This window comes from Homo sapiens, chromosome 8 (assembly GCF_000001405.40).
Source record: "Homo sapiens chromosome 8, GRCh38.p14 Primary Assembly".
NCBI classification, from domain to species: Eukaryota; Metazoa; Chordata; class Mammalia; order Primates; family Hominidae; genus Homo; species Homo sapiens.
In genome coordinates, this window is record NC_000008.11 from 117,630,210 (window position 1) to 117,656,274 (window position 26,065).

At 37.1% G+C, this 26,065-nt stretch overlaps 1 long non-coding RNA gene across 5 annotated transcripts in view; it reads right to left on the reverse strand.

Annotated features, from left to right (window-relative positions):
• LOC105375721 (uncharacterized) overlaps positions 1-26,065 on the reverse strand; it is a 121,243-nt gene that overhangs the window by 19,313 nt on the left and 75,865 nt on the right. For 3 of the 5 annotated variants that reach the window (XR_001746050.1, XR_001746049.1, XR_001746046.1), the window contains exons 6-7: positions 3,662-4,674; positions 2,484-2,538 (exon numbers count right to left, since the gene is read on the reverse strand). This is a non-coding gene — a long non-coding RNA (uncharacterized LOC105375721). Of the gene's footprint in view, positions 1-2,483; positions 2,539-2,561; positions 4,675-26,065 lie in introns of those variants that run through there. The other 2 variants (XR_007061069.1, XR_007061071.1) reach the window with 2 other exon arrangements.

The following is a 26,065-nucleotide window of genomic DNA, read 5'->3' on the forward strand; positions in this document are numbered from 1 at the left end:
AATTATATGATCAATTTTATTAGGCTTGTTGTAAGGATTAAACTACATAATAAATGAAAAACATTTAGTCCAATATCCAACACATAGTAAGCACTCAACAATTATCTATTACATGTATCACTCTCCACTTTGGCAATGATAGTTTTAAAACTGCTGCGTTTATTGAACATTTACTATATTCCTAGTACTATGGAAAGCCCAGAATATGTTTTCTTAAATAATATGGGTTTATATGAGTTTTCACAATGCAGCCATAGTTGATTCTATGGGTTATTATTTTACCTATCAGCCATTATGAAACTGAGACTGAAAGGGATTACATAAACTGTCTGAGTTCTCATAAGTAGTAATTAGATTTACTGTCATTTGAGCACAGCTGATATTGCAGGAGCCCCACACACTGTCTCCATAGATGTACACATCTTATGTCTTGTACTGAATTGTAAATTCCATTGCAGGCAAGGATTTGATCTGATTTATCTTTGTATCCCCTGATGTATCTAGCTTAATACCTTATATGCCAATGATGAGTAAATATTTATTAAGTGATTGTATACAAAGTGAAGGGACCTCAAAGTCAAACTTTATCAATGTCACAATTCTGTCCTAGCATTAACTCTGCAGAAGTTGTTCACATGCATTTTGAGTAGAGGGAATCCTTTCTAGCAGCACCCATACTAACAGTCACATTCTAAAGGGCAGTGCTGCCCCAACAAAAATGGCATGTAAATAGGTCCTTTGTGCCACCACGTCTATCTGCACATTGGCTGGGCTCATCCAATACTTAGTACCCTAGAAAGTTGGTATTTATACTATGGCAGCAGCATGGACTGTACATATTTGAAATTTTAAAAATTGTTTATGATGGATGCAGTGATCTTCCTCAGAAAATACTAATAGCAACCATTGTTCAGAATAAAGAATCAAGAACTTGAGCATCAGACACAAAACAGGAGCAGCTAGGAAGTGAATTGCCAGCTCCAGAGAGGAAAGGACTTAACTGGTAAAGAGTATAAGAGTTCACAGTAAAATAGAGCTACCATTCAACCCAGCAATCTCATTATTGGGTATATACCCAAACGAATATAAATCTTTCTACCATAAAGACTCATGCACATGTATGTTCATTGCAGCCCTGTTCACAGTAGCAAAGACAAGGAATCAACCTACATGCCTATCAATGGTGGACTGAATAAAGGAAATCTGGTACATATAAACCATGGAATGCAGCCACAAAAAAAAAAAAAAAAAAAAAAAGGAATGTAATCATATCCTCTTCAGCAACATAGATGGTGCTGGAGGTCATTATCCTAAGGGAATTAATGCAGAAACAGAAAACCAAGTATTGCATGTTCTGACTTACACATGGGAGATAAACATTGAGTACACAAGGGAGGGAACGACAGACTCTGGGGCCTACTTGAGGGTGGAGGGTAGGAGGAGGGTGAGGATTTAAAAATTACCTATCGAGTACTATGCTTATTACCTGGGTGACAAAATTATCTGTACACCAAAACCCCAAGACGCAATTTACCCTTGAAACAAACCTGCTCACGTACTCCTTGAACTAAAATAAAAGTTGGAAAGAAAACACATAAAAATAATAAAAATTTTACAAAGAGTTCACAGGATTCCAAAACTGCTAGAGCAGCAGTTCTTTAAGTTTGGTCCATGGACCATCAGCACTGGCATCACCTGGGAACTCAACAAGCAATGTAAACTCTCAGGCCCCACCCAGATTTTTGAAATAAGAAACTTTAATATGAGACCCAACAAACTGTTACAAGAAGCCCTCAGGATGATTCTGATGAATACTCAAGTTTGAGAACCACTGAGTAGAGCATAGATCTTCACAATGTATAACTTCATTCTCCAGATATGAATTCTGAGACACATAATTTTTTCATGACCACACAGCTAGTTAGTAACGACCAGAATAGGTACCTCCTGGTTCAGAGTAAGGAGGGCTGGGAAAGGTAAAGGCAGATGTAAGGAAACTTTATGTTCCTGGAGCCTAAGTCTCATTTTTAAAATATAGATTGTGAGAACGGCTGTTATTTCTGGATGAAGGCTGCAGGGACAGGCTCTGAAGACCACTGGATTAATGGTTGGAAGTGCTAGAGTAAAAAGAGTTAAACCAGTGTTCTTTACTGAAAAACATTTAATATGAGGATATGGAATATTAATCTTCTGGAGGATAACAGGGTAAATAGCATTTAAAAATTTTTTTTTGACCATAAACTGTGTTAGGTTATAAAAACAGAAAAAGTGAAATGCCCCAGAAGCTGGCCAGGTTGCCATGTGACCACCATACACTTCCGTTTCTGGTTCTTAATTTCAGAAGTTTCTTTCTAAAGCAGCATTCAGGGAAAAAAAATGGGAAATGCTGGCCTACATTTATGTCAAAATAGTAAGTAATTTTTGTTTTATAACTGATTTATGTTTTAATTTTCAATCAATCAGTCAGAATCACATGTGCTTACCTTGTAGTTCACAGGGTCCTAAAGGGTTCCTGGTTCCCAAGGTTCTATAAGCTCCCTGAAATTATAAGCAACATTTTGAGTATGTGTAAATGTGGTATTTTTCTGGGGGATTTCCAGAGATTTTTCATTAAATTTTCTAAGGGACCTATGGCTTATGCAATCACTAGATTTGTTAGCTCCCTGAAAATGCAGCTAGTGACATCTGGGTTTTCCCTTTATTAACTTAGAGTCTCACAATTTTTCACTTAATTCTACTACAGAATTCTCCTGATTGCTCATGTTACTTCCATTCCAGTCTTTCTTGGGTCTGTACTCTAATTTTCTTAAATTTCTAATCTATTACATTCATTTCTAAAAACCTTTAATGGCTCCACTGTTGACTGCCAATTCAAGTACAAATGCTGTAGACCTCCCACAATAAGGCTCTTATTATCTTGTCTTTCTCTCATTCTTGTGTATCCTACAGCCAAATAGACAACTTTCTCCAAAGATATACTTACCCATACTACCTCTATATTTGGACTGCCTAGGTCTATTTCCTTCTTCAACATTCTTTACATGCTTCTAAAAAGCCTTCTCTTCCATGAAGTCTTCTTGATTCCCCAAATATTTATTATGATTTTCACCTTCCATCATGAACCCAAAGTAAATATGTGCCAATCTCTTATGAAACTAATCCTACTTGGAATTCATATAATCATTATTGATGTGCTTACTACCCATCCTGTGCCAGGGCACAGGAACTGTTATTCCCCTTGTTTTAAATTTGTCATTGGGTCCTTTCACTGGATCACCCCATTCAAGGCTTTCACCAAAAAAGTAGTATTGGCCCCTATCATGTTTTAATCTGAAATGCTCAGATTTTGATTTTTAAAAAGATTTGTTTTCTAGTTCAGAAACCGAACCACAGACAGCGGCTTCTATGCAAGCTCGTCTTATTTCTAAGATGAAAGAATACTATTAAGGCAGATCAATAAAACAACAAAGATTTCCCCTTTCTCTTTGTTCTTTTGCTCCTTGTGTTGAAGAACCCTCAAATACATTTTCAGAACTCAGGAGTCAAAAATAATCATTTTTGTTTTTAATGGATCAATTGACCTCTAGTAGTCATCATTTCCTATTCCTACTTTTTTTCCTCTTCAGTTGAAATGCCTAACCTGGAGAAAGATGTCCCCTACCTCAACCCAAGGCCCTAAGCAGTCTGCTTCAGTCTGACATATGGACAAAAATCACAGTGAAGATGAAGTAGGAACAGAGTAGTAGGTAGCCACGACCATGGAAGCAGCAGAGTTCGGAGCCAGCTCTATCTGTGTGTGTTAGGACGGTGGGGAGCTCCAAGGCTAAAATCTTCTGATGGTCTAGGATCCTCTTTTATTCATTGCCATCATGAAAGAGAGTTTTAAATGAACCCATTGGCTCTGGATCTATTGACACAAACAAAATGTTTCTTGAAATAAAACTTAGGCACAGAACTTCGAGTTTCCACATTGAGAAAAATCCTACCATAGCCATCAATTTATATACTTATAAAAGATAATCGGGGCTCACTCCCCTTTTCCTAGCTCTCATTTCTCTCATTGGATAATGACTGATACCAACTGGCAGAGACTGATTGGCACACACAAACAGAATGATGGCTGAGTCAACACAAGCGCTTACCTACCACCCCTCCATGTGTTTACGCTTAAGCATCTCAATTAACTGTTCATGTTCAGTATATTTTCTTTATTCCTGGCAAACTCAGCTATGTATAAGTGAAAAGAGCAATCTACCAAAAATAACCTAAGTGGGTCCTAATCTCCTCTCAACATTTTCTGTCTGACTTTGGGCAAGTCTTCTTTCTACCTGTTGGCCTTGGTTACTCTCTATAAAACAGGAATAATGTCTTGCTTTTCTCATTAAGTCTTGTGTCTGCTCTAAGTTATGTGGATGCTACAATTCAATAAATGTTAAATGATGCTAACAGTTTGCCTCATATCCTTCAAAAGTACCTTGAATGCTTAGGATGAATCCAATAAATAAACTAACATAAATTCGATATCTAGGAGAACTGCTTAATGAAAGAGTAACTGAAGTATTGCCAAGTTAATTATTACCAATCAGGGTGGGTGTGAGAGATGATTTGCTTTTTTCAACTTCAATTTGAGAGATTGATTTTATGGTTTCTCAGGTCTCCTTCACTGTTGAAATCCTACAAAACAAATGGAGAATCGATAAAAGAAAAGTGTGCTATGGCTTAAGCCTGAGTTCCTGTTCCCTCCATCTTTCCAGTTTTTCCGAAATCAGTGTTGCTATCATGGTTCTGTTTTGATTAAAAATCTAGATACGCACACACAGTTTTTTAAAAATAATTCAAATATGTGTGGGCAATGATATTCTGCTATGGTCTTTTCCAAGTGCTGTGCACTATCCCAGAACATTGGGAAATTCTACATTCAAATATTAAAACAGAAGACCTGCATGAAATGTGCATTTACTTTTATTTGAGCTTATCTATTTAATAAGGCATTTGGTCTAGAACCTCTTTCTGTTACCATGCTTGAAATTTAACTAACTTGCTTCTTAAGAATGACCATAAAGGGTATGATATTGCAAAAAATCACATTTTATGATAATTTTATAATAATATAGAAAATATGGTCTGTACCACACAATGGCAGGCTCAGTGACAGACAGTCAGTCTTCATTTATCCAGGATGATTGGGAAATGAGGTGTCTCTGCTGTGATTTGTCCTGATAACTGAGGCTTATTCCCTTTGCATGCCAAAAGGTTTTATTTAAACTAATTTCAGTAGAAAGATTTCTCAAATGTGTCACAGTGTCCAGCCTAATTAAATATATACTGAAGCTATTAACCTGTTGTTAATGAGAAACTCAGCACATGGCTATCAGCCATCATACAGGGCCACATCATGGTCAGAGGGGAGCCTGAGAGGGGAAACCTCGCTTGTTCCTTTGCTCAGCACCCCCAACTTGTTCTGCTTTCTGAGTCGTGTCTGTAATAGGCTTTCTATTCCCTTTCTCACTATTAGTGGCCTTTTTTTTTAATCAGTTTTCAATACTCTCACTCCAAGCAATTTTTCATTCTTTTAAATTCCTGTTTTTAATTTGTAGAAAGCCCAATAATAAAGCCCTGTTAGGACTAGATAGTAAACAAGAATCATTCCAATTGGGGTACAACTAGGAGTCAGTGAGGATCAATGAGGGTTCGTGTGCAGACAAGTAGATGTTCCAGCTGCCTGGTTTTCTACCGGGACCCAGAGAGTGAGGTTACTGAGAGCCTTCCATCCGAGCAGCAAGTACTCTTATTATTTTTCTTTGTATTTTTATCTCATTATTTCACTCTGATAGCTTATATTACCTATGTTATATATAAAGTCCTTACCTACATTATATATAAAGTCCTTGAGGGCAGGAAACATATTTTATTGTTCATCTGTTTTGCCACACTACCTAAAATAGTGCTGAGTACATTTAAAAAAAAAAAAAAAAAAAAAAAGGCCGGGCACGCTGGCTCATGCTTGTAATCCCAGCATTTTGGGAGGCCGAGGGGCGTGGATCACTTGAGGACAGGAGTTAAAGACCAGCCTGGCCAACATGGTGAAACCCCGTCTCTACTAAAAATACAAAACAATTAGCCAGGCGTGATGGCAGGCGCCTGTAATCCCAGCTACTCAAGAGGCTGAGGCAGGAGAATCGCTCAAACCCAAAAGGTGGAGGTTGCAGTGAGCTGAGATCATGCCATTGCAGTCCAGCCTGGGCAACGAGTGAAACTCTGTCTCAAAAAAAAAGAAAAAAAAAAAAAAAAAGAATGCTTATGTAATTTGGCTATGCTATGCTTTCCCCCAGAACCTTAGAGAAATCCACATTGAAACGTTAATTCAATATGATACCTATTTCTGTCATTTGGCATTATTTGTGCCATACTTTTCTTCCAATAGCGTTGACTGACTTGCCCTAGACTTTGCTGTAAATAAATATAAAGATTTCTTGTTTAATTTGTGGTACTGTAATTGGAAACTAGTCTCCCCCTCAGCTATTCTCTTTTTTTGATTAGCAATCCTTGCATAGAGAATCTCCAGCTCTACCCTAAAGCCCAACTATAGTCCTTATTTTTCATACCTTGAAGGCCCAGTAACTCATCAATATTTCTTAAGCTGTGCCTAACTTAAACTTTTTGGCCTATCAAAGGATCTTTCTTTTTTAGGATCTGTCTCTCTCTCTTTTTTTTTTTAATGATGAGTAGAAAATGGCCCTCAGACCAGATGGATTCACAGCCAAATTCTACCAGAGGTACAATGAGGAGCTGGTACCATTCCTTCTGAAACTATTCCAATCAATAGAAAAAGAGGGAATCCTCTCTAACTCATTTTATGAGGCCAGCATCATCCTGATACTAAAGCTGGGCAGAGACACAACCAAAAAAGAGAATTTTAGACCAATATCCTTGATGAACATTGATGCAAAAATCCTCAATAAAATACTGGCAAACCGAATCCAGCAGCACATCAAAAAGCTTATCTACCATGATCAAGTGGGCTTCATCCCTGGGATGCAAGGCTGGTTCAACATACACAAATCAATAAATGTAATGCAGCATATAAACAGAACCAAAGACAAAAACCACGTGATTATTTCAATAGATGCAGAAAATGCCTTTGACAAAATTCAACAACCCTTCATGCTAAAAACTCTCAATAAATTAGGTACTGATGGGACGTATCTCAAAATAATAAGAGCTATCTGTGACAAACTCACAGCCAATATCATACTGAATGGGCAAAAACTGGAAGCATTCCCTTTGAAAACTGGCACAAGACAGGGATGCCCCCTCTCACCACTCCTAGTCAACATAGTGTTGGAAGTTCTGGCCAGGGCAATCAGGCAGGAGAAGGAAATAAAGGGTATTCAATTAGGAAAAGAGGAAGACAAATTGTCCCTGTTTGCAGATGACATGATTGTGTATATCTAGAAAACCCCATCGTCTCAGCCCAAAATCTCCTTAAGGTGATAAGCAACTTCAGCTTTGGGTATTTATAATACCCAAAGGATTATAAATCATGCTGTTATAAAGACACATGCACACATATGTTTATCGTGGCACTATTCACAATAGCAAAGACTTGGAACCAACTCAAATGTCCAACAACAATAGACTGGATTAAGAAAATGTGGCACATATACACCAAGGAATACTATGCAGCCATAAAAAATGATGAGTCTCAGGATACCAAATCAAGGTACAAAAATCACAAGCATTCTTATACACCAAAAACAAACAGAGAGCCAAATCATGAGTGAACTCCCATTCACAATTGCTTCAAAGAGAATAAAATACCTAGGAATCCAACTTACAAGGGATGTGAAGGACCTCTTCAAGGAGAACTACAAACCACTGCTCAACAAAATAAAAGAGGATACAAACAAATGGAAGAACATTCCATGCTCATGGGTAGGAAGAATCAATATCGTGAAAATGGCCATACTGCCCAAGGTAATTTATAGATTCAATGCCATCCCCATCAAGCTACAAATGACTTTCTTCACAGAATTGGAAAAAACTACTTTATAGTTCATATGGAACCAAAAAAGAGCCCGCATTGCCAAGTCAATCCTAAGCCAAAAGAACAAAGCTGAAGGCATCACAATACCTGACTTCAAACTATACTACAAGTCTACAGTAACCAAAACAGCCTGGTACTGGTACCAAAACAGAGATATAGACCAATGGAACAGAACAGAGCCCTCAGAAATAATGCCACATAGCTACAACTATCTGATCTTTGACAAACCTGACAAAAACAAGAAATGGGGAAAGGATTCCCTATTGAATAAATGGTGCTGGGAAAACTGGCTAGCCATATGAAGAAAGCTGAAACTGGATCCCTTCCTTACACCTTATACAAAAATTAATTCAAGATGGATTAAAGACTTACATGTTAGACCTAAAACCATAAAAACCCTAGAAGAAAACCTAGGCAATACCATTCAGGATATAGGCATGGGCAAAGACTTCATGTCTAAAACACCAAAAGTAATGGCGACAAAAGCCAAAATTGACAAACGGGATCTAATTAAACAAAAGAGCTTCTGTAAAGCAAAAGAAACCACCATCAGCGTGAAAAGGCAACCTACAGAATGGAAGAATTTTTTCAACCTACTCATCTGACAAAGGGCTAATATCCAGAATCTACAGCGAACTCCAACAAATTTACAAGAAAAAAACAAACGACCCCATCAATAAGTGGGCGAAGGATATGAACAGACACTTCTCAAAAGAAGACATTTATGCAGCCAAAAGACACATGAAAAGATGCTCACCATCACTGGCCATCAGAGAAATGCAAATCAAAACCACAATGAGATACCATCTCACACCAGTTAGAATGGCGATCATTAAAAAGTCAGGAAATAACAGGTGCTGGAGAGGATGTGGAGAAATAGGAACACTTTTACACTGTTGGTGGGACTGTAAACTAGTTCAACCATTGTGGAAGTCAGTGTGGTGATTCCTCAGGCATCTAGAACTAGAAATACCATTTGACCCAGCCATCCCATTCCTGGGTATATACCCAAAGGATTATAAATCATGCTGCTATAAAGACACATGCACACATATGTTTATTGCGGCACTATTCACAATAGCAAAGACTTGGAACCAACCCAAATGTCCAACAATGATAGACTGGATTAAGAAAATGTGGCACATATACACCATGGAATACTATGCAGCCATAAAAAATGATGAGTTCATGTCCTTTGTAGGGACATGGATGAAACTGGAAACCATCATTCTCAGCAAACTATCGCAAGGACAAAAAACCAAACACCGCATGTTCTCACTCATAGGTGGGAATTGTACAATGAGAACACGTGGACACAGGAAGGGGAACATGACATACAGGGGACTGTTGTGGGGTGGGGGGAGGGGGGAGGGATAGCATTAGGAGATATAGCTAATGCTAAATGATGAGTTAATGGGTGCAGCACACCAACATGGCACATGTATACATATGTAACAAACCTGCACGTTGTGCACATGTACCCTAAAATTTAAAGTACAATAATAATAAAATTTAAAAAAAAATGGTCCTCAGAAACAAAAGCAAAGACACCTTGAATATCTGGCCCATTTATATATTTATTCTGAATTTTTTATGTAATACCGTATGTTATTTCAATTCTTCTCATCCTGCACGTCACTACAGGAAATCATCTTTCCTTATGGCGTCAACTTTCTGAGCATCACCTTCTTGATTTGCCCAGAATGTGAAAGTGCATGCGCTGTCTTCCACGCAGCAAACATTTCTTGCTTCTGTCTGTAATGTTTTGGTTGCTTTTGAAGTCATTCTCTAAACCTGTAATGTGTGCAGGTCACTTGTCTGTAGACACTTGGAAAGTGGGGTCACTGATCTAAAGACAATATGCTAATACCAAGCTCTGCTTTATACATAGTACCTGTAACCAAATCCTCTTGAAAATCCATGATACCTTAAGTTTTATTTCAAGAAACATTTTGTTTGTGTCAGTAGATCCAGAGCCAACGGGTTTATTTAAAAACTCTCTTTTATGATGGCAGTGAATAAAAGGGGATCCTAGACCATCAGAGGATTTTAGCCTCGGAACTCCCCACCCTCCTGGCAGTGGTAAGGTCTATTCATTTTCTGATCTTATTGCAATCATTCACTGGATATCTCCTTTGACATGACCTTCTTTTCTCAAAGCTAACTCTTTAAAACCCCTTCTCATTTACTTGTGAGAAAAAAGGTATGAAAGTCACCTTTGTGCTTATGGCAAACATTCATTTTTCTTCACGATGCTCTTGAAAATCCAGAATGACCACAGCTTATCCTGATCCTTCAGCTGTACACTCCATAAGCACAATGTAGGATTCATACAATATAGTCCCATAGGTGGCTAAATAGATTTTACAGTAAAATATGTGTGCTGAGGAGTGAATAAAACAAACACATTTACTGTATGTACATCTTAGCGGGCAATAATAAAATACTCATGTACTCACCAAAAACTTGAGACATTCAGCATTACAACCCCGTAGCAGGCTGTGTACCCCTCCCCACTTGTCACCCTTTCTCTTTCCCTAGAGGTAACCACAGTCCTGAATCTTGTCTCTGTCTCTCCTTCTCTTTTGCTGTCTCCCTCTCCCTCTCTCTGTCTCTCAATCTCTCTTTCTCTCATAGTTTATCACCTTTATATGGTTTCCTAAATAATATTTCATTTGGTACTTGCCTTTTGTATTTATGCAAGTGAAATTCTATATGTAATTTTTTGTGATAGGCTTATCACATTCCATATTGCAAGATTCATCTATGTTGAAGAAAATAGCTGTAGCTTGCTTGCTTGCTTTTTCTTTCTCTTTTTCTTTTCTTTCTTTCTCTTTCTTTTCTTTCTTTCTTTCTCTTTCCTTCTTTCTCTCTCTCTTTCTCTCTTTTTTTTTTTTTTGAGATGCAGTCTCATTCTGTTACCCAGGCTGGAGTACAATGGTGTGATCTTAGCTCACTGCAACCTCCACCTCCCAGGCTCAAGCAATCCTCCTGCCTCAGCCTCCCAAGTAGTTGGGACTATAGGCACACACCACCATGCCTAGCTAATTTTCATATTTTTGTAGAGACTGGGTTTCGCCATGTTGCCCAGGTTAATCTTGAACTCCTGGGCTCAAGCAATCCTCCCACCTCTGCCTCCCGAAGTGCTGGGATAACAGGCTTGAGCCACTACACCAAGACAATAGCTATATTTCATTCTTTTTAACTATGGTATAGTATTCTAGTCTATGAACATACCACAACTTAGGAGTCTATTAAACTGTTGGTAGACAATTTGAATAGTTTCCTGTTTTCTGCTATTATGAACAATGCTGCTTGGACAATCTTGAATTTTCTGGTGTACACATGCTAGAATTCCTCAAGGGCATATATCTGGGAGCGTAGGTATGATTGTAGGGAATTTTCATCCACATCTCTACTCTATTTAGACACACTGCTTTCCAGTTCTACTAGTTTATACTCTTGTCCGCAAGAGATGACTATTCCTATTGCCCATATCCTCACTACACTTGATATTAATCACCTTTTAATTTTTTAATAAACTGGTAGGCATGAAATGATATCCTATTGAGATTTAATTTAGCATTTCCCTGCTTAACAATAAGGTTGAGCATCTTGTCTTATGTTTATGGTAATTCGTATTTCCTCCTCTGTAAGATGTATGTTTAAGTTTTTTGTTCTTAGTTTCATTGTGGTGTTCATCTTTTCGAACACAAATCTTTACTCATTGACATGGACCGCAAATCACTTATTTCAGTATGTCTTTCTCTTCATTGTCTGTAAGGTGTTTTTATTCTATAAATGAAAGCTTTAAATTGTAATGTACATACATTTTATCAACAATTTCCTTTGGACTTTGTAATTTGCTTAAGAAACTATTTTACTTCAAATTCATATGACTATTCCAAATATTCTTAGAAGTTTTGAAATACTGCCTTTTACATTTACATCTTTCATCCGCTTGGAATTGTAGTTTATAGTTTGTAATACAAAACTGTTTTTTTTTTATTTTTCATTTGTATAATCAATAGTCCAAGCACCATTTATAAAATAGTTGATTCTTTCCTCACTGATCTAAAATGGCTGAACTGACATAAATTAAGTTTCATGTATGCTGTGGGCCTGTTTCTGAGGTCCCTGTTTAGTTGAATTGACACTGATTAAATCCCTGTAGCAATAACACCTTGTTATAATTACAATAGCTTTAAACTAAAATTAAATCTGGTAGAACAAGTCCCTTTCCTTATATGAAAACATTGTTCTTCAGAAATGTTTGAACTAACTTTTGATTAGGTATTTAATTTGAGATGTTTCCTCCTTTTAATATAGGTGTTCAGAGCTATAAATTTCCCCTTAAGCATTTCTTATGCAAGATGAACACTTTAGATTCGAAGACAAAAATAGGTTGAAAGTAAAATATTGGGGAAAGATATACCATTCCAACAGTAATCAAAAAAGAAGTGAAGTAACTATATTTATATAAGACAAAATAGATTTCAAGACAAAAATTATTACTATAGACAAAGATATTTTATAATGATGAAAGGGCCAATCCACCAAGAAGATAAAACAATTATAAACCCATATGCACTTAACAGAAGGGCCCAAGAAAACATGAAGCAAAATTGACAGAATTGAAGGGAGAAATACATTAATTCAATACTCTAATCTCAATAATGGATAGAACAACTAGACAGAAGATCAACAGGAAATAGAAGACTTGAGCAACAGTATAAACAAACTGGGCCTTGCAGCAGCTGCAGAACACTCCATGAAACAACAGAATACACGTCCATCTCAAGTGCACATTGAACCTTCCCCAGGATGGAACGTAGGTTAGGCCATAAAAGACGTCTCAGTAAATTTAAAAGGACTAAAATAGTACAAGTATGTTCCTAGACCATAATGGGAAAAAAATCAGTAACACAAGGAAATTTAGGAAGTAGGAAATTCACAGATAGTGGAAATTAAACACACAATATTAAATAACCAGTGGGCCAAAAAAGAACTCACAAAGAAAATTTAAAAATACATAAGAGTTTTTTAAAAAGTGCTATGGCAACGTAAGTTTCACATGCAAAAGAATGAAGTTGGTTCCCTATGTCATATTATGTACAAAAATTAACTCAAAATCGATAAAATATCTAAATATAAAGGCTGAGATTATAAAACTCTTAGAAGAAAACATAGGTGTAAAATCTTCATGACTTTGGATTAGGCAATGGTTCTTAAATATGACACCAAAAGCACAAGCAATAAAATAAAAAAATAAGTACATTGGACTTCATTACAATTAAAACTTTTGTGCTGCAAATGAATACAGTAAAAAAGAAACCTAAAGAATAGGATAGCTTATTTGTAAATCATATATCTTGTTCAGCTCTCATATCCAGAATATGTAAAGAATTCTTATAATTCAATAACAAAAACACAAATAACACAATTTAAAAAATGGGCAAAAGATTTGAACAGACATTTCTACAAATATATATATATATGCAAATGGACCAATAAGCACATGAAATGGTGTTGAACGTCGATTGTCCTTAGAGAAATGCAAAGCTACAGTGAGATACTACTTCACACTCACAAGCCTGGCTATAATAAAAAAAGACAGGAAAAATAACCACAGGCGGTGTTGAAGATGTGAAGAAACTGGGACCCTCATACATTGTTCGGGGGGAATGTAAAATGATGCAACTGCTTTGGAAAACAGTTCAGCAGTTTCTAAAAAAGTTAAACATAAAATTACCTTTAAGATTCAGCAATTCTACTCCTAGATATACACCCAAGACAACTGGGTATATATAAACTTATATTTCCTTTATGCCCACATACACCCTTAGATATATGTAGATATAAATATATGCCTAAACAAAATCTTGTATATGGATGTTGCTAAAAGCATTATTCATGGTAGCTAAAAAATAGAAACAATCCAAATATCCATCAGCTGAAGAATAAAGAAAATGTGGTATATTTATATGATAAAATATTATTTGAACGTAAAAAAGAATGAAGGACTGATACATACAATAATATGGATGAAGCTTGAAGACATTATACTAAGTAACGAAATTGGTCCCAAAAGGCCACATATTGTGTGATTCCATTTGTACGAAATGAGAAATTTCTATGGATCTTTTATGTTTCCTTGAAAATTATATGTATTCTACAACTGTTGGATACAGTGTCCTATAAATGTCTATCAGGTTCCATTCAAATCTTCTACAGTTTTACTAAGTTTTTAATGTGCTTGATCTACCAATGAAAGACAAATGTTTAGATCTCCCATTTTGATAGTGAAATTGTCACTTTCTCCTTGTAGTCCTATTAATTTTCATTGTATATGCTTGAGGCTATTGGGTCCATACAAGTTTAGAATTATTACATCTTCCTAGAAAATAGAATATTTTATCATTATTTAATCAGCATCTTTATCTCTAGTAATATTTCTTTCCTTAAAATATATTTTGCCAGATATTAATATAATTACATCAACTAGCTGTAATTATATATATTTTCAACTAACATTGTAAGCTTATTAAAGGATTCCTTTACATTCAATGTGAAATAATTGATTACCTTAATAAGAACAATTTGGAGGATTTTAAATTTTATAAAGTGCCTTTTCATGTGGCCTTTTGCTTTTTCACTAAGGTATTTCATTCAAAAGCATCTGATGTTGCTGTCAGTTTCTCAAAACATCTGACAGTTGTAAGTTGCTAACCAACATACAATCATGTCCATGTCATGAGTTATGTCAAATGATACCAAAATATGCTGACTTAATTACCAACACACAAAGAACCTTCTTAATTAATCAGCTGATATGATGGACAATTACACTGTTTTAGAAGTTAGAATTACATAGTCATAAAACTAGGTTTAAATATTTTCTCTGCTCTGTAATATATAAAATGGGCTTTGACATGACATTAAAGTAAGTCTTTTTTTAAACCAATGCTTGCTCTGGATTATATTTACTCTGCAAAATATAAACCTTCTTTATCAATAACTTCAATCCATCAATTTATCTCACTACTTTTCTTTTCATTGCCTGCTCTCGTTGACCTGTATTTTCTCTGCAATTTCAAGGACAGTGCCATAACAACAGCAATAATACCTTTCATCTCATATAGTTCTTTGAAGTGTAAAAAGCATTTGTAGGCATATTAGTAGGTGCTCAATAACTAGTTGTTGAACTGAATTATCCTGCTTCTTCATGATTACCAAATAGGAATTTAACAATGACATAATCAAGAATGTTCTTTGTGTGGCGCTGAATGTCCTGGAAGCTGAGTGTGTTCCCAATCTCTATGACTGTGTCTCCAGCCTTATGCACTTAAAATGTCTACTGCAATTTCCTTCATTATTATGTACTAAGAATGCAGCCAAGAAAGACTGCTCACCTCTATGAAGTATACCTAAGCCAAGGATGTTAAATTCCATCCTTACCATCAAATATAGATTTTCTATGAAAAGGTCAATCCATTTTTAAAAGCTGAATGGATAACTGGAAAGTAATTTACAGCTGATTAATATTTAGGGACCAAAAAATCCAGTACAAGAATATTTCCCAGATTTATTGAACTTTGATTATGACTTGATTGAATTTTCATTTTTTTCATTCACTCAGTTCTTACCTTTTTTTGGTTCTGAACTAGTCAGTGGAATGTCACTGGCCATGTTGAGCTTCGTAATTCTGCTACCTTTATTGAATTAATCTATTTCTATGGCAAGACTGCCAGCTTGAGATAGTCTTTTGCCTGCTGAGCCATTTGCAGTGATGGATGACACAAGGAATAGTAACACTTTCCAATTTGGCATCTTTTAGGCATTAACTGGGTCTTTTATTACACATCCTTTCAGTCTTACTCTTATTTTTCTTTGAATTCATTGACTTCTAGACAAGAAAATGACACATTTCCTTAAGGAATCCCCTTTAGCTAGCAGTTGATGTCATTTTAAAAAGAACTTTTTAGAAAAGACAGAAGTGACTCTTAAAACTTAATGTTCTTCCTTTGGAAATAAGGTGAAAATTTTGTTAAAATAGGTGAACAAGTATTTGTTTACCTAATAATAGAATATATTGTATAGAGAGAACCACCTGAAGCTTGAAATTGGTATTTTATGAAAATTAAGAGAGAGTAATATTTAATAATTTACAACATTTGTAGTAACTTTATGTGTAAGCAATGAGTATTGCTGTTTGAATGATATTTTCACTTCTCTCCTTCCATATGCAGGACAGATTTATAGTTCCTGACCCCCTTATGGTTGAGTGGGGTTATTCAGCTAGTTCCACCTACTGAATTGTCTGATTATGAGTGTGTCATTTCTGAGCTGCGTCATGCAATGTGAGATCCTCAAGGGTTCTCTTTTCCCTCTGGCTGGCAACTGACAATGTTTGAGACAATGACTATCTTGTCAGTCAGTCTGATTCACCAAGTCACTACTTCAAGGAATCCACCTCTGCTGATTTGCAATGGACGGGTAGCATGCCAAGAAACAATCCTTTGTTACCTAAACTACTGGGATTTGGGGTTTATTTGTTACTGCAGCATAAACTAGTTTTATACTTTATTTTAAAGATACTATGGAATTTGCATTAGCCCACGATAGTGTCTAGTTAAATTTAGAGATGAACCATCCGTGACAGGCTCTTAAAGATTTCTAACTTTATAAGGTTGTTAATAAATTCTTTAAGTTTGAGGTTGTTAATAAGGACTACCATATTTTCTCACTAATTCTGCCTAGCATTGCTGAACAGTCATATACCAAACGTTCCGGATGTAAGTAAACCATGAACATTTTGAACTTTTGAGAAGCAATGCAGCCAGATTTGTTAAATCATGAATTTAGGAACATCAGTTTTATTTCTGACTGCATTTTTATTAACACTTCTGTAACTGCTTGAAGCCTTGGTTTTCTCATCTGTGAAATGAAAATGATAATATTTCCATGTGATGGTTATGGAAAAAACACCAGTGAGAACACCATAACCCTCTTATAAAAAAGGAGTAAGTGTTTGTTCCAGTGCTGGGCCTCGAGGAAGTGCTCAGTAAATCCTGCCTCTCCTCCTGTTTTGAAGGGATAATGACACAAATTCAAACCTCTTACCAACATTATAGGGAAGCTACTCCACACACCACCCACTTTTTTTCTCTTTTCTGTTCTAACTGATTCTTTCTGGTTCTGCTTTATTTTTCATAAGAAAAATCAGCCTGAGTCACAAACTATGGCGTTTGTGCCACCAAGTCATAGGTAAGAGGAGCACGGTGATAATGACAGCAGCCCTGTCTCATGTGTTGTGTGCCTGGTCTTTGCTGTAGGCACTTTCCACAAGTTTTTCTCCTTACAACAGCCCAGTAAGGTGGACATTTTTCTGCTCATTTTGCAAATGAGAAGATTAACAGTAGATATTTGGATAAGGTTATGTATCTGTTAATTGATGCTATCAGAATTTGATCCAAGATGTCTGAAGATTGTGCTCTTCACCACCAAATAGGGGAAGCATATACCCAGGTTTGCCTGCAGCAGTCTCTATGTATGACTAGTATCCTGGCATTCCATCTGGTTTACCATTTGTCTTAGATTTTTCATCTTTACAAATGTATTATTATTAATAGTTGCATTAAAACATGCCAGGTGATACAGTTTGGCTGTGTCCCCACCCAAATCTCATCTTGAATTCCCATGTATTGTGGGAGGGACCCAATGGGAGGTAATTGAATCACAGGGACAGGTCTTTCCCATGCTGTTCTCGTGATAATGAGTAAGTCTCATGAGATCTGATGGTTCTATCGGTGGGAGTTTCCCTGCACAAGCTCTCTTTCTTTGCCTGCTGCCATCCATGTAAAACATGACTTTTGCCTTCTGCCATGATTATGAGGTTTCCCCAGCCACGTGGAACTGTAAGTCCATTAAACCTCTTTCTTTCGTAAATTGCCCAGTCTCTGGTATGTCTTTATCAGCAGCGTGAAAACAGACTAATACACCAGATTTCTAGGCTTCCACTTCACTGCCAGCCTCTGCCATGGTTTCACCTAGTCTCAGTGCAAAATGCACAGGCCATAAACAGAGTTCTTAATTTAACATGTGGTCATATTTGAAAAACAACCAAAGATCACCTTTCTTTCTTCTCCTGACCCTTTCTGGAGGCAATGTAACTAGTACCTTTTTAAAGGAAATGAAGAGACTTTGTACCCTAGGGTCTGGGAAGAAGCTACATCCTTCTAGTCTGTGGTGGTAATGGTGGCAGAAGTGTCCAACAGGCCTACCCCTATCAATCAAATGGAGCTGGCATGCAGGTGGTAGCATGGCCTGTGCTACAGCCTACAAGATGCATGAAACATCAAACCAGGCTGCAAAGTCAGGAAAGCTTGGAAATGGTAGATTCGGTATATATAAAACATGTGGGAATAAAAACTGAGAGTTCTTTCACAGAGCATATAGAGAATACTTCCTAGTACAGTGGTTTTTGTCATTTATTATATACTATAAATCAATAACTTTTTATTTATGTTATTATTTGGTAGCTTTTTAAAAACTTTATAACTCTTTTCAGGAGCAATAAATTCTAAGGGGAGGGGAAGCACATGTTTAATAAAATTTTAAGTACAGAATTTCTATTTTGTAAGAAAATTGACAAATATGTAACTTACACAAAATGTTTGCTGGCATTTGACATCTAACTTGGGGACTGTAATGATATTAATTATCATTTGAAAAGGCACAAGTCTACTAAAGAAACATCAGCATCCATTTCAAAAGCTAGTAGTTACTTTGTGCAGGTTTTCTTGAAAGTAATGATTTACTGAAACTTATCACTAAACATATTAAAACACCAAAAGAGGAAAGAACAAATAAAAGGTTGAACCCTCAAGGGAGTGCTGTGTTTAATATTTAAATTTAGAATACTATAAATGCACTTTAGAGTATCTCAACTTGTGGTGTAATTTTTTTTGATGGAACTGCTATTTTTAATCAGGTGAACTTATATTCTGACTAGAAAGGAGTGAAAATAAGAATGCTTATGATTTTCCAGCATCTGAATTTAGAGAAACAGTCAAAGGAATCATAGATACAACTTAGTTGAAAAACTTTGATTAAAATATTTTTCAAAGAAAGATATGGAGGTAAAAAGAGAGTATGTGTGAAAAATATTTGAGCTACGTACACATTTTTATTTTTAAAATGGAATTAAATTTGAAACGATCAGCATATTTAATTTACTCATCCATGTACTATAATATTTTTAGTTAAGTAAGTATGCTCTTTTCAGATACTAAAGTACCTGGAAAACTAAAAAAAAAAAAAAATGCTACTACATGGTGGATATTTTCATTAGCCGTAAACTACTTAGAGTAAGACTGCAGGCAATTTTATGAAAGAAATTTTAATGACACTATGTTGAAAAAAATATCAGACAAATGGCATTAGAAACAAATATAGCAAAGAAATTGATTAACGTATGTGAAGTGTATCAAGACTATTATTGTTTATGTTATTTTTAATGTTTCAGATAATTGATGTAATAATCAAAGTGAAGATTTTTATTTTGCTTAAATGTAAATGCATATGCGTTATTTTCATTTTTAGGAAAAAATTATTTTTGAAAATGGTTTTTAACAGAACTAGTTTATAAATACAAATGTATTTTATAAAAACAATTGTATTCATTAACAAATGAATATTCCAAAAAGCATAATTTTAATTTTCAAGTGTGGCCTTGCAGTCTAACAATTATTTAGCTACTTGTCCCAAACGGGGAGTCTGTATGCACAGCCTGCAGGGTATGGTAAGTGACACTCTTTGTTTTCATCTCAGTTCCCTGGATATGGAAGGCCAGCTTCATCCAAGGCACCATGGTGAATTCTTTGGACAGTTGTTTTAAGTAAAAAATTGAACATAATTATTCTGCTGCCCCTCCTAATTTTAAAGGGAAGTGTCTTTCTTTTGGGTTCTTTTTGATTCACCAGCATCAAGGATTCCAGGACACAGCAGTCACCTGAGAGCTATGGCTGATAAATGTCTTCATTGCCTCAGAGAATTGTTCTGGGGCCGTGACGCTCTCCAGCATTGCCTGAATTCCAAACGGAACTACATGCCTTTGTGACTTTGAAGATTAATCTCTGTCACTCACAGCTCGTTGGCTTCCCTTGCTCATTTCTGCAATGTCTGCAGATGGTGTGGTGCTCTGTGCCAGAGTTATTTACCCACAAGTTCCTTCACACATAGCTCCCTCTTTGAGCCATTCCAGGGAGAGTTAAATACTGAACAATTACGCAACTCTTTTGTCAACCCGTGGGTCTTTCCAGCTCTGGTCCAAAAGAAAGTCTCTGCAGCAATACCTGCTATTCCTGGAGGCTGCTGCTGTCTCTCAACTGAATGCAGCAGAGACATTGCCTTCAAGAACCCTCTCACCACAAAAATAAACATTTTCAAAATATACACAAACAACACATTTTTCATTGGTAAACATTCCTTAACACACTTCCCAGAGTGCCTGCTGCTTCACTGCATTTTTCTCCCAGAACTCAAGTTGCAGAATTCATCATCCTCTAGCTTTTTATTAATTTACAAGTCAGCAAATATTTTGGCACTGAGTACCAAACCTTTGTCAGAAAGATGTAAGGTGGAAGGGAAAGATGGAAAAAGGAACAGGGAAAAATAGTAACTGTGGAGGTAAGTTCTTTATATTCGTTTTTTAATTTTTCCATAACCACTATGAGTAAGTATTTTTATTATCCTATTTTACATATGTAGGAGACTGAGACTCAAAGAGATTAAATAATTTACACAAAGTCACATCCCCAGTAATGACGGAACAGAGACTTGAATCCAGGCAGTTTACATTTAAAGCCTGCAATTATAACCCCTAAACTATATCTCTTCACACTGTAGAGAAAGTAGAAGCAGAAGAAAGAGGAGAAAAAAGAAAATATGGGGAAAGGGATGGGAAAGAGGTGAAGGCAAGTGGAAAGAAGAAAAGTGAAAGGTGGTGATCAGAGGAGTGAGGAGGAATAAAGAAGAAAACACTGGTGAGAGGGAGGAAAAGAGAGCTGAGAGAGAGAGAGAAGATGGGAACAAGGAGAGGAAGAGGCAAAGGGGGAGAGAGAGGGGACAGAGGGAGAGACAGAGAGGAGAGAGAGAGAAAAAAAGAGAGAAGGGGCCGGGAGAGGAGCATATGCAGTGAGTAATAATCCCAAGACTTTCTATGGTTCATATCTTGGGTAATCTGTGCCTTGATAAATCTGAAATAAGTATAACAATTTTTTAAAAGCCATCATCTTTTTAACGACTTTATTTATTTATTTATTTATTTTTGTACTTTAAGAGTCATTACCATTGATTCACTAGAGGAAACTTCAAGTATTAGAAGGACACTGGCTTTCAAATCAGTAAGGTTCAATTTCCTCTTCTGGAAATTAGAAATAAATACTCACTGACCTCATATATCATTATAAATAAGTTCTGTCAGTAAAGCATTGGAAATTGCATATCAACTTCCTTTGCACTGAGTACCATCACTTTGGTCATGGACCTAAGGCACAGAAAGGGAGAATTGGGAAAAAGAATAAGAAGAAATGGTAATAACAAATAGCTGGCATTGAGCACTTGTTATGTGTCAAGGACTGTGTGTACTACCACTGTGCACTCGGGAAGTTTAAGTTCTCTTGCTCTCTCCTCTCAAATAAAAGCAAGCGCTGGCTAGTACTTCTAGACCTAGACTTCCTAAACCCCAGCCAAGAGGTAGAATATAAAGTAGCGGTTATGAGAATAGGCCCAGAGCATTACTGTGTTTAATTGCCGTTCCTCCATTGAGCTCATTATTCTCATGACCCCCTAGATGCATTCTCTGCTTTGTGCTGAACTCTATGAACTGCACCCCTTGGCTGCTTCCTCTTCCTAGATCGCTGTGAGACACAAGCTCTCCTCTCTCCTCACTTCCTCACAACTACCCAAGACAAGGTTGATTTGGGCAGGAAAGGACTTCCTTTCCTTAAAGCTATAGCTCCCATCGAGGGATTTCTCTCACACAGTTAGTTGTTGCTGTTTCAGTAACACTGTTTCTAGGGATGCTAAAGGATTCTAATTGTTGCTCATCTTTGGAGACTTTGGAACTATGTCTTGTTGGTTCCCTTAATCCTACCCTTGTCTCCATAAATAATCCTATCATTAAACTGTTTCAATTATCTTTTAAGAATTTGCCATCTGTTTCTATCACCACTCCTTCCGACACAGATGTGAACTGTCTGTGGGATCTTAGATAAGTTCCCTAGCATCGCCAGCCTCAGTTTCATCATCTATATACTGGGGGTGTTGTACTTCATGGGGAAGATCTGAAGAGTGAATAAAAGTGCCTGTGCTTTGTTGCTTAACTTCTTGCCAGGCACATACACAGTAGTAGTATTTACAACCTACTTAGAAAATATGAATGCATATAAGGTCAGACTTAAACGTGAATTACCCCCCATCCCCCACCACTACACACACAGATCTTTACCCCAGGAAGTTCTCCGTAGTATCCAAAATGCAAGTGATTATCTTCATATCATGGTCTCTGGTAGTTCCTGCCTTATTCTATTTCTAGTGGTTCTAGGATTTTCAGCATTTTCATGGAGCTTGTGAAACTCAGAAGATAAAACAGAAAGCCATGTAAGTATATGTGGGATCAGTCTACCTTCCTGGAAGACAGAAGACTGGCCCTTTATACAACTAGACAGAAGCTAATCTAAATCCTAGTGGGTTCTGCCAGAACCCAAGGATCCCCAAAACCATCCTTTTAATTCAAGGAATAAATCCCAACAGTATCCAATGGTCTGGTCCTCATAATTATCACATTTCTTAGACATATCAGATATAGGAACACCCCACTGCTCTACCATTGCTCTGTGTCTGGGGATTGCAAATAGGTTTCTTTTTAAGTGCCAACTTGGATCAATTGGCAGTGTTGCCTGAAGTGCTGGGTGGAGAAAAATTCTCAGGCCAAGTGCAGGCTCAGCAGTAAAAATAAGCATTGTGATTGATTAACAATGTCTGCTATGGACGCGGGGTGAGGGGGAGAACTCCCACACTTGCTGCATGTTTGCTGACCATGCATTATAATGTGAAGGGATTTTCTGGAAGAAAGTAGAATGGGGTGGTGGCATCCCAGTGACTTTCAGGCATCAGGCCTGAAAATATTCTTTTTGCACCCTTCTCTTGTAGAATCTATTTCAAATAAAAGGTAATGACTGAGATTACAGATACATTTTCTCATTTAGACCTTTCATTTTTATGCGCATTTGCATTCAGCAGTAAAATTATAACACATATTTGGTATCTGTTGTAAGCATCTGGGGATGGTTTATATTATAGAGATTCAAGAAGTAGAGCTCTCTACTGGACAGTGATTCAGTCAGATATGTTCAACATAGCTCACTGAGCTCATCTCATCAATGATATGTTCACGCAGCTAAAGGCAAATGTTTAAACATTTAGTTAATGCACCATATGTCTTAAATGTTTTAGTTCCATCTGACATTTTAAAAAATCCATTTTAGTGGAAACCCGCCAAGTAAATTTACTTCTCTGGAAGATGATTATTCCATTCATCTTAAATCCAATTCTCCTGGACCTCTCAAACACAATGAACTCTTAATTTGTAGGCTTCTAATCCAAAGACAGGACTGTCTTCATGTTCTGCCTCCTGAAGTGTGGGGAAATGCCTGATCAGGTGGTTCCATGTAATATAGTTTATGTCCTGAGGGCCACACAGCTAGGTGTAGGCAAAGGTGGCTCCAGAAAACTAATTATCAACTCTGGGGGCTCAGCAGGGTGGTAAGTGAAAGGCAAAATGGAGGACTATGAAAATAAAAGGAACAAAGTCAGAGAAACATGAGAATCAGAGTAGGAAAAACAAGAACAAAAGACAAAGGCAAATAATGAACATTTACAACAGGATGTGGTTATAACTCTTATGTTTCAAGTCACACACTCCTAGCAATTAAAAACAATACAGAGGGTAAAAATAATAACCATAGAACTGTGAGGCTTAGGCATAGTGGTTAGAAACACAAACCTTGATATCAAATAAATTAAAGTCTCAAATCTTGGCTCTACCAATTACTAGCTGTGACCTTAGGCAAATTATTTCATCTCTCTGAGCCTACTTTCCTCACAGGGTTGATTAAAATATTAAACTTGTATAGTGGGTGAGTATAAAACTCAGATTTGCAAAAAAAGGTAACTTAATTTTTAATAAGTAAATTCAATTTCATGTGTAAACTCCTAGTCTGCCCATAGCTTAAAATATATTTTATCACATTGCAGTATACTCAATTTGTATTCAGTGATTTTTATAAAGCCACTTAAAGTATCATTCTATCAGTCTTTATCCCGTTCCAATCTTAGACATTTTTGGGTAAGAATTAATCATTTCTAAGGCTTCCCCTACTGCGCCTCACCATCTACCTGATGGTAAGTCGGTAGAGAGGAGAGGAATGTCATATAATGTCCTAGCCTCTAACCCTTGCTGGTCTTCAGTTGAGAGAACTCATTCTGCTTGGCCTTTGGCCACCAGCCTTTGTCCTTTTTCATCTCTTCTGGTGAAGTTACTCTCACCAAGCCCTGGACATCTTGAGTTGGCATCCATTCAAATCAAGCAGGTCCCACTTGACCTTTGTGATGGTTTGCTGCGACTCCTAGCTAATGCCTCTGGTCTAAAGGTCCTTGCCTTTAGCTTTGTTGTCCTGATCTCAGACCTCTTGCTGTCCATCAGTCCTCTCTATAATTCTGTGAACTTTGATTTTCAGAATCCAGGATTTTGATGAGGTATATTATTTGAACTCGAAAAGCTGAGCTTTACAAATTAAGAGGCAAGGGGTTTTATTTAGCATGAGTCTTGATGTGTGGAAGAGTGAGAATTGGACTGAAGGGCAGTTTTTGTCCCTAGGGCTAGAATGGAAGATCAGCAGATGGAGCCTAAGATGGGGAGAAGCAAAATTGAGATGCAGAAAAGTGAACTTATTTTCCCATCCCCTTCCAGTTAATGTTGGGGGTTGGTGGGGGCTGGATCTAGACACTGATAGTTAGGGTCAGGGAATATCAAAACTAGGTGCTTATTCCTTGCCTCCCCAGAGCTCATGCCTTTCAGAGATGACTTGAATCTCCATGGCAGCAAGGCCAACATGGTGTAGATGCTGGAATAGAAATGAATGAGGAACGTGCCAGATGGAAGGACTTGAGAGAGCATTCTCCCACCCCCTGCCCTCCACTCAGCCTTTATCCCATTCCCTGTGATCTGTGGGGAATTTGAAGTTTCCAGGAGCCTAGAAATGGAACAGGAGATACAGCCAGCCCCAAAGAATCAGCAGCTCCAGGGATAGCAAAGGTGAGACTCAAGTCCACCATAGAGAAATCACCAGGCCTTAAATGAGATGTGCAAACAAGTGACCCTGCTGTAGACACATTAGCAAGGGCTACAGCATGAGCCCTTTCCGAGGAGAAGGCCAGAGGGACCTCAGGCCCCAACACCTCAAGAAGCAGATATTCCTCTGCTCCCAGGGCCTGTCTGGGGAAGAGAGGGGAATTAACAATCCATACAGCCCTCCATTTTAAGCCAGAAAGCTGAGAACACTTTAATTGTTAAGAACAAATATTTTCCCCATCAGTAGGGTGGGAGAGCACGAGGTAAAGTCAGAGAAAATAATTGACCGACTTACGGAAAATAAAGGAAGACTAGGGGAGGAGTTAGTTCTTATATTTGTTTTTACTGTGTGTACTAGCCTGCTCAGGCTGCCGTAACAGAATACCACAGACTTTTCCAAGGTGGCTTAGAAAACAGAATTTTATCTTCTCACAGTTATAGAGGCTCAAAATTCCAGATCAAAATGCTGTCAGGATTGGTTTCTGATGAGGCCTTTCTCCTTGGTTTGGAGATGGCGCCTTCTGTTTGTGTCCTCATGTGGCTTCTCTCTATGTGCACAGAGAGACAGAGAGAGCTCTGGTGTCCCTTCCTCATCTCATAAG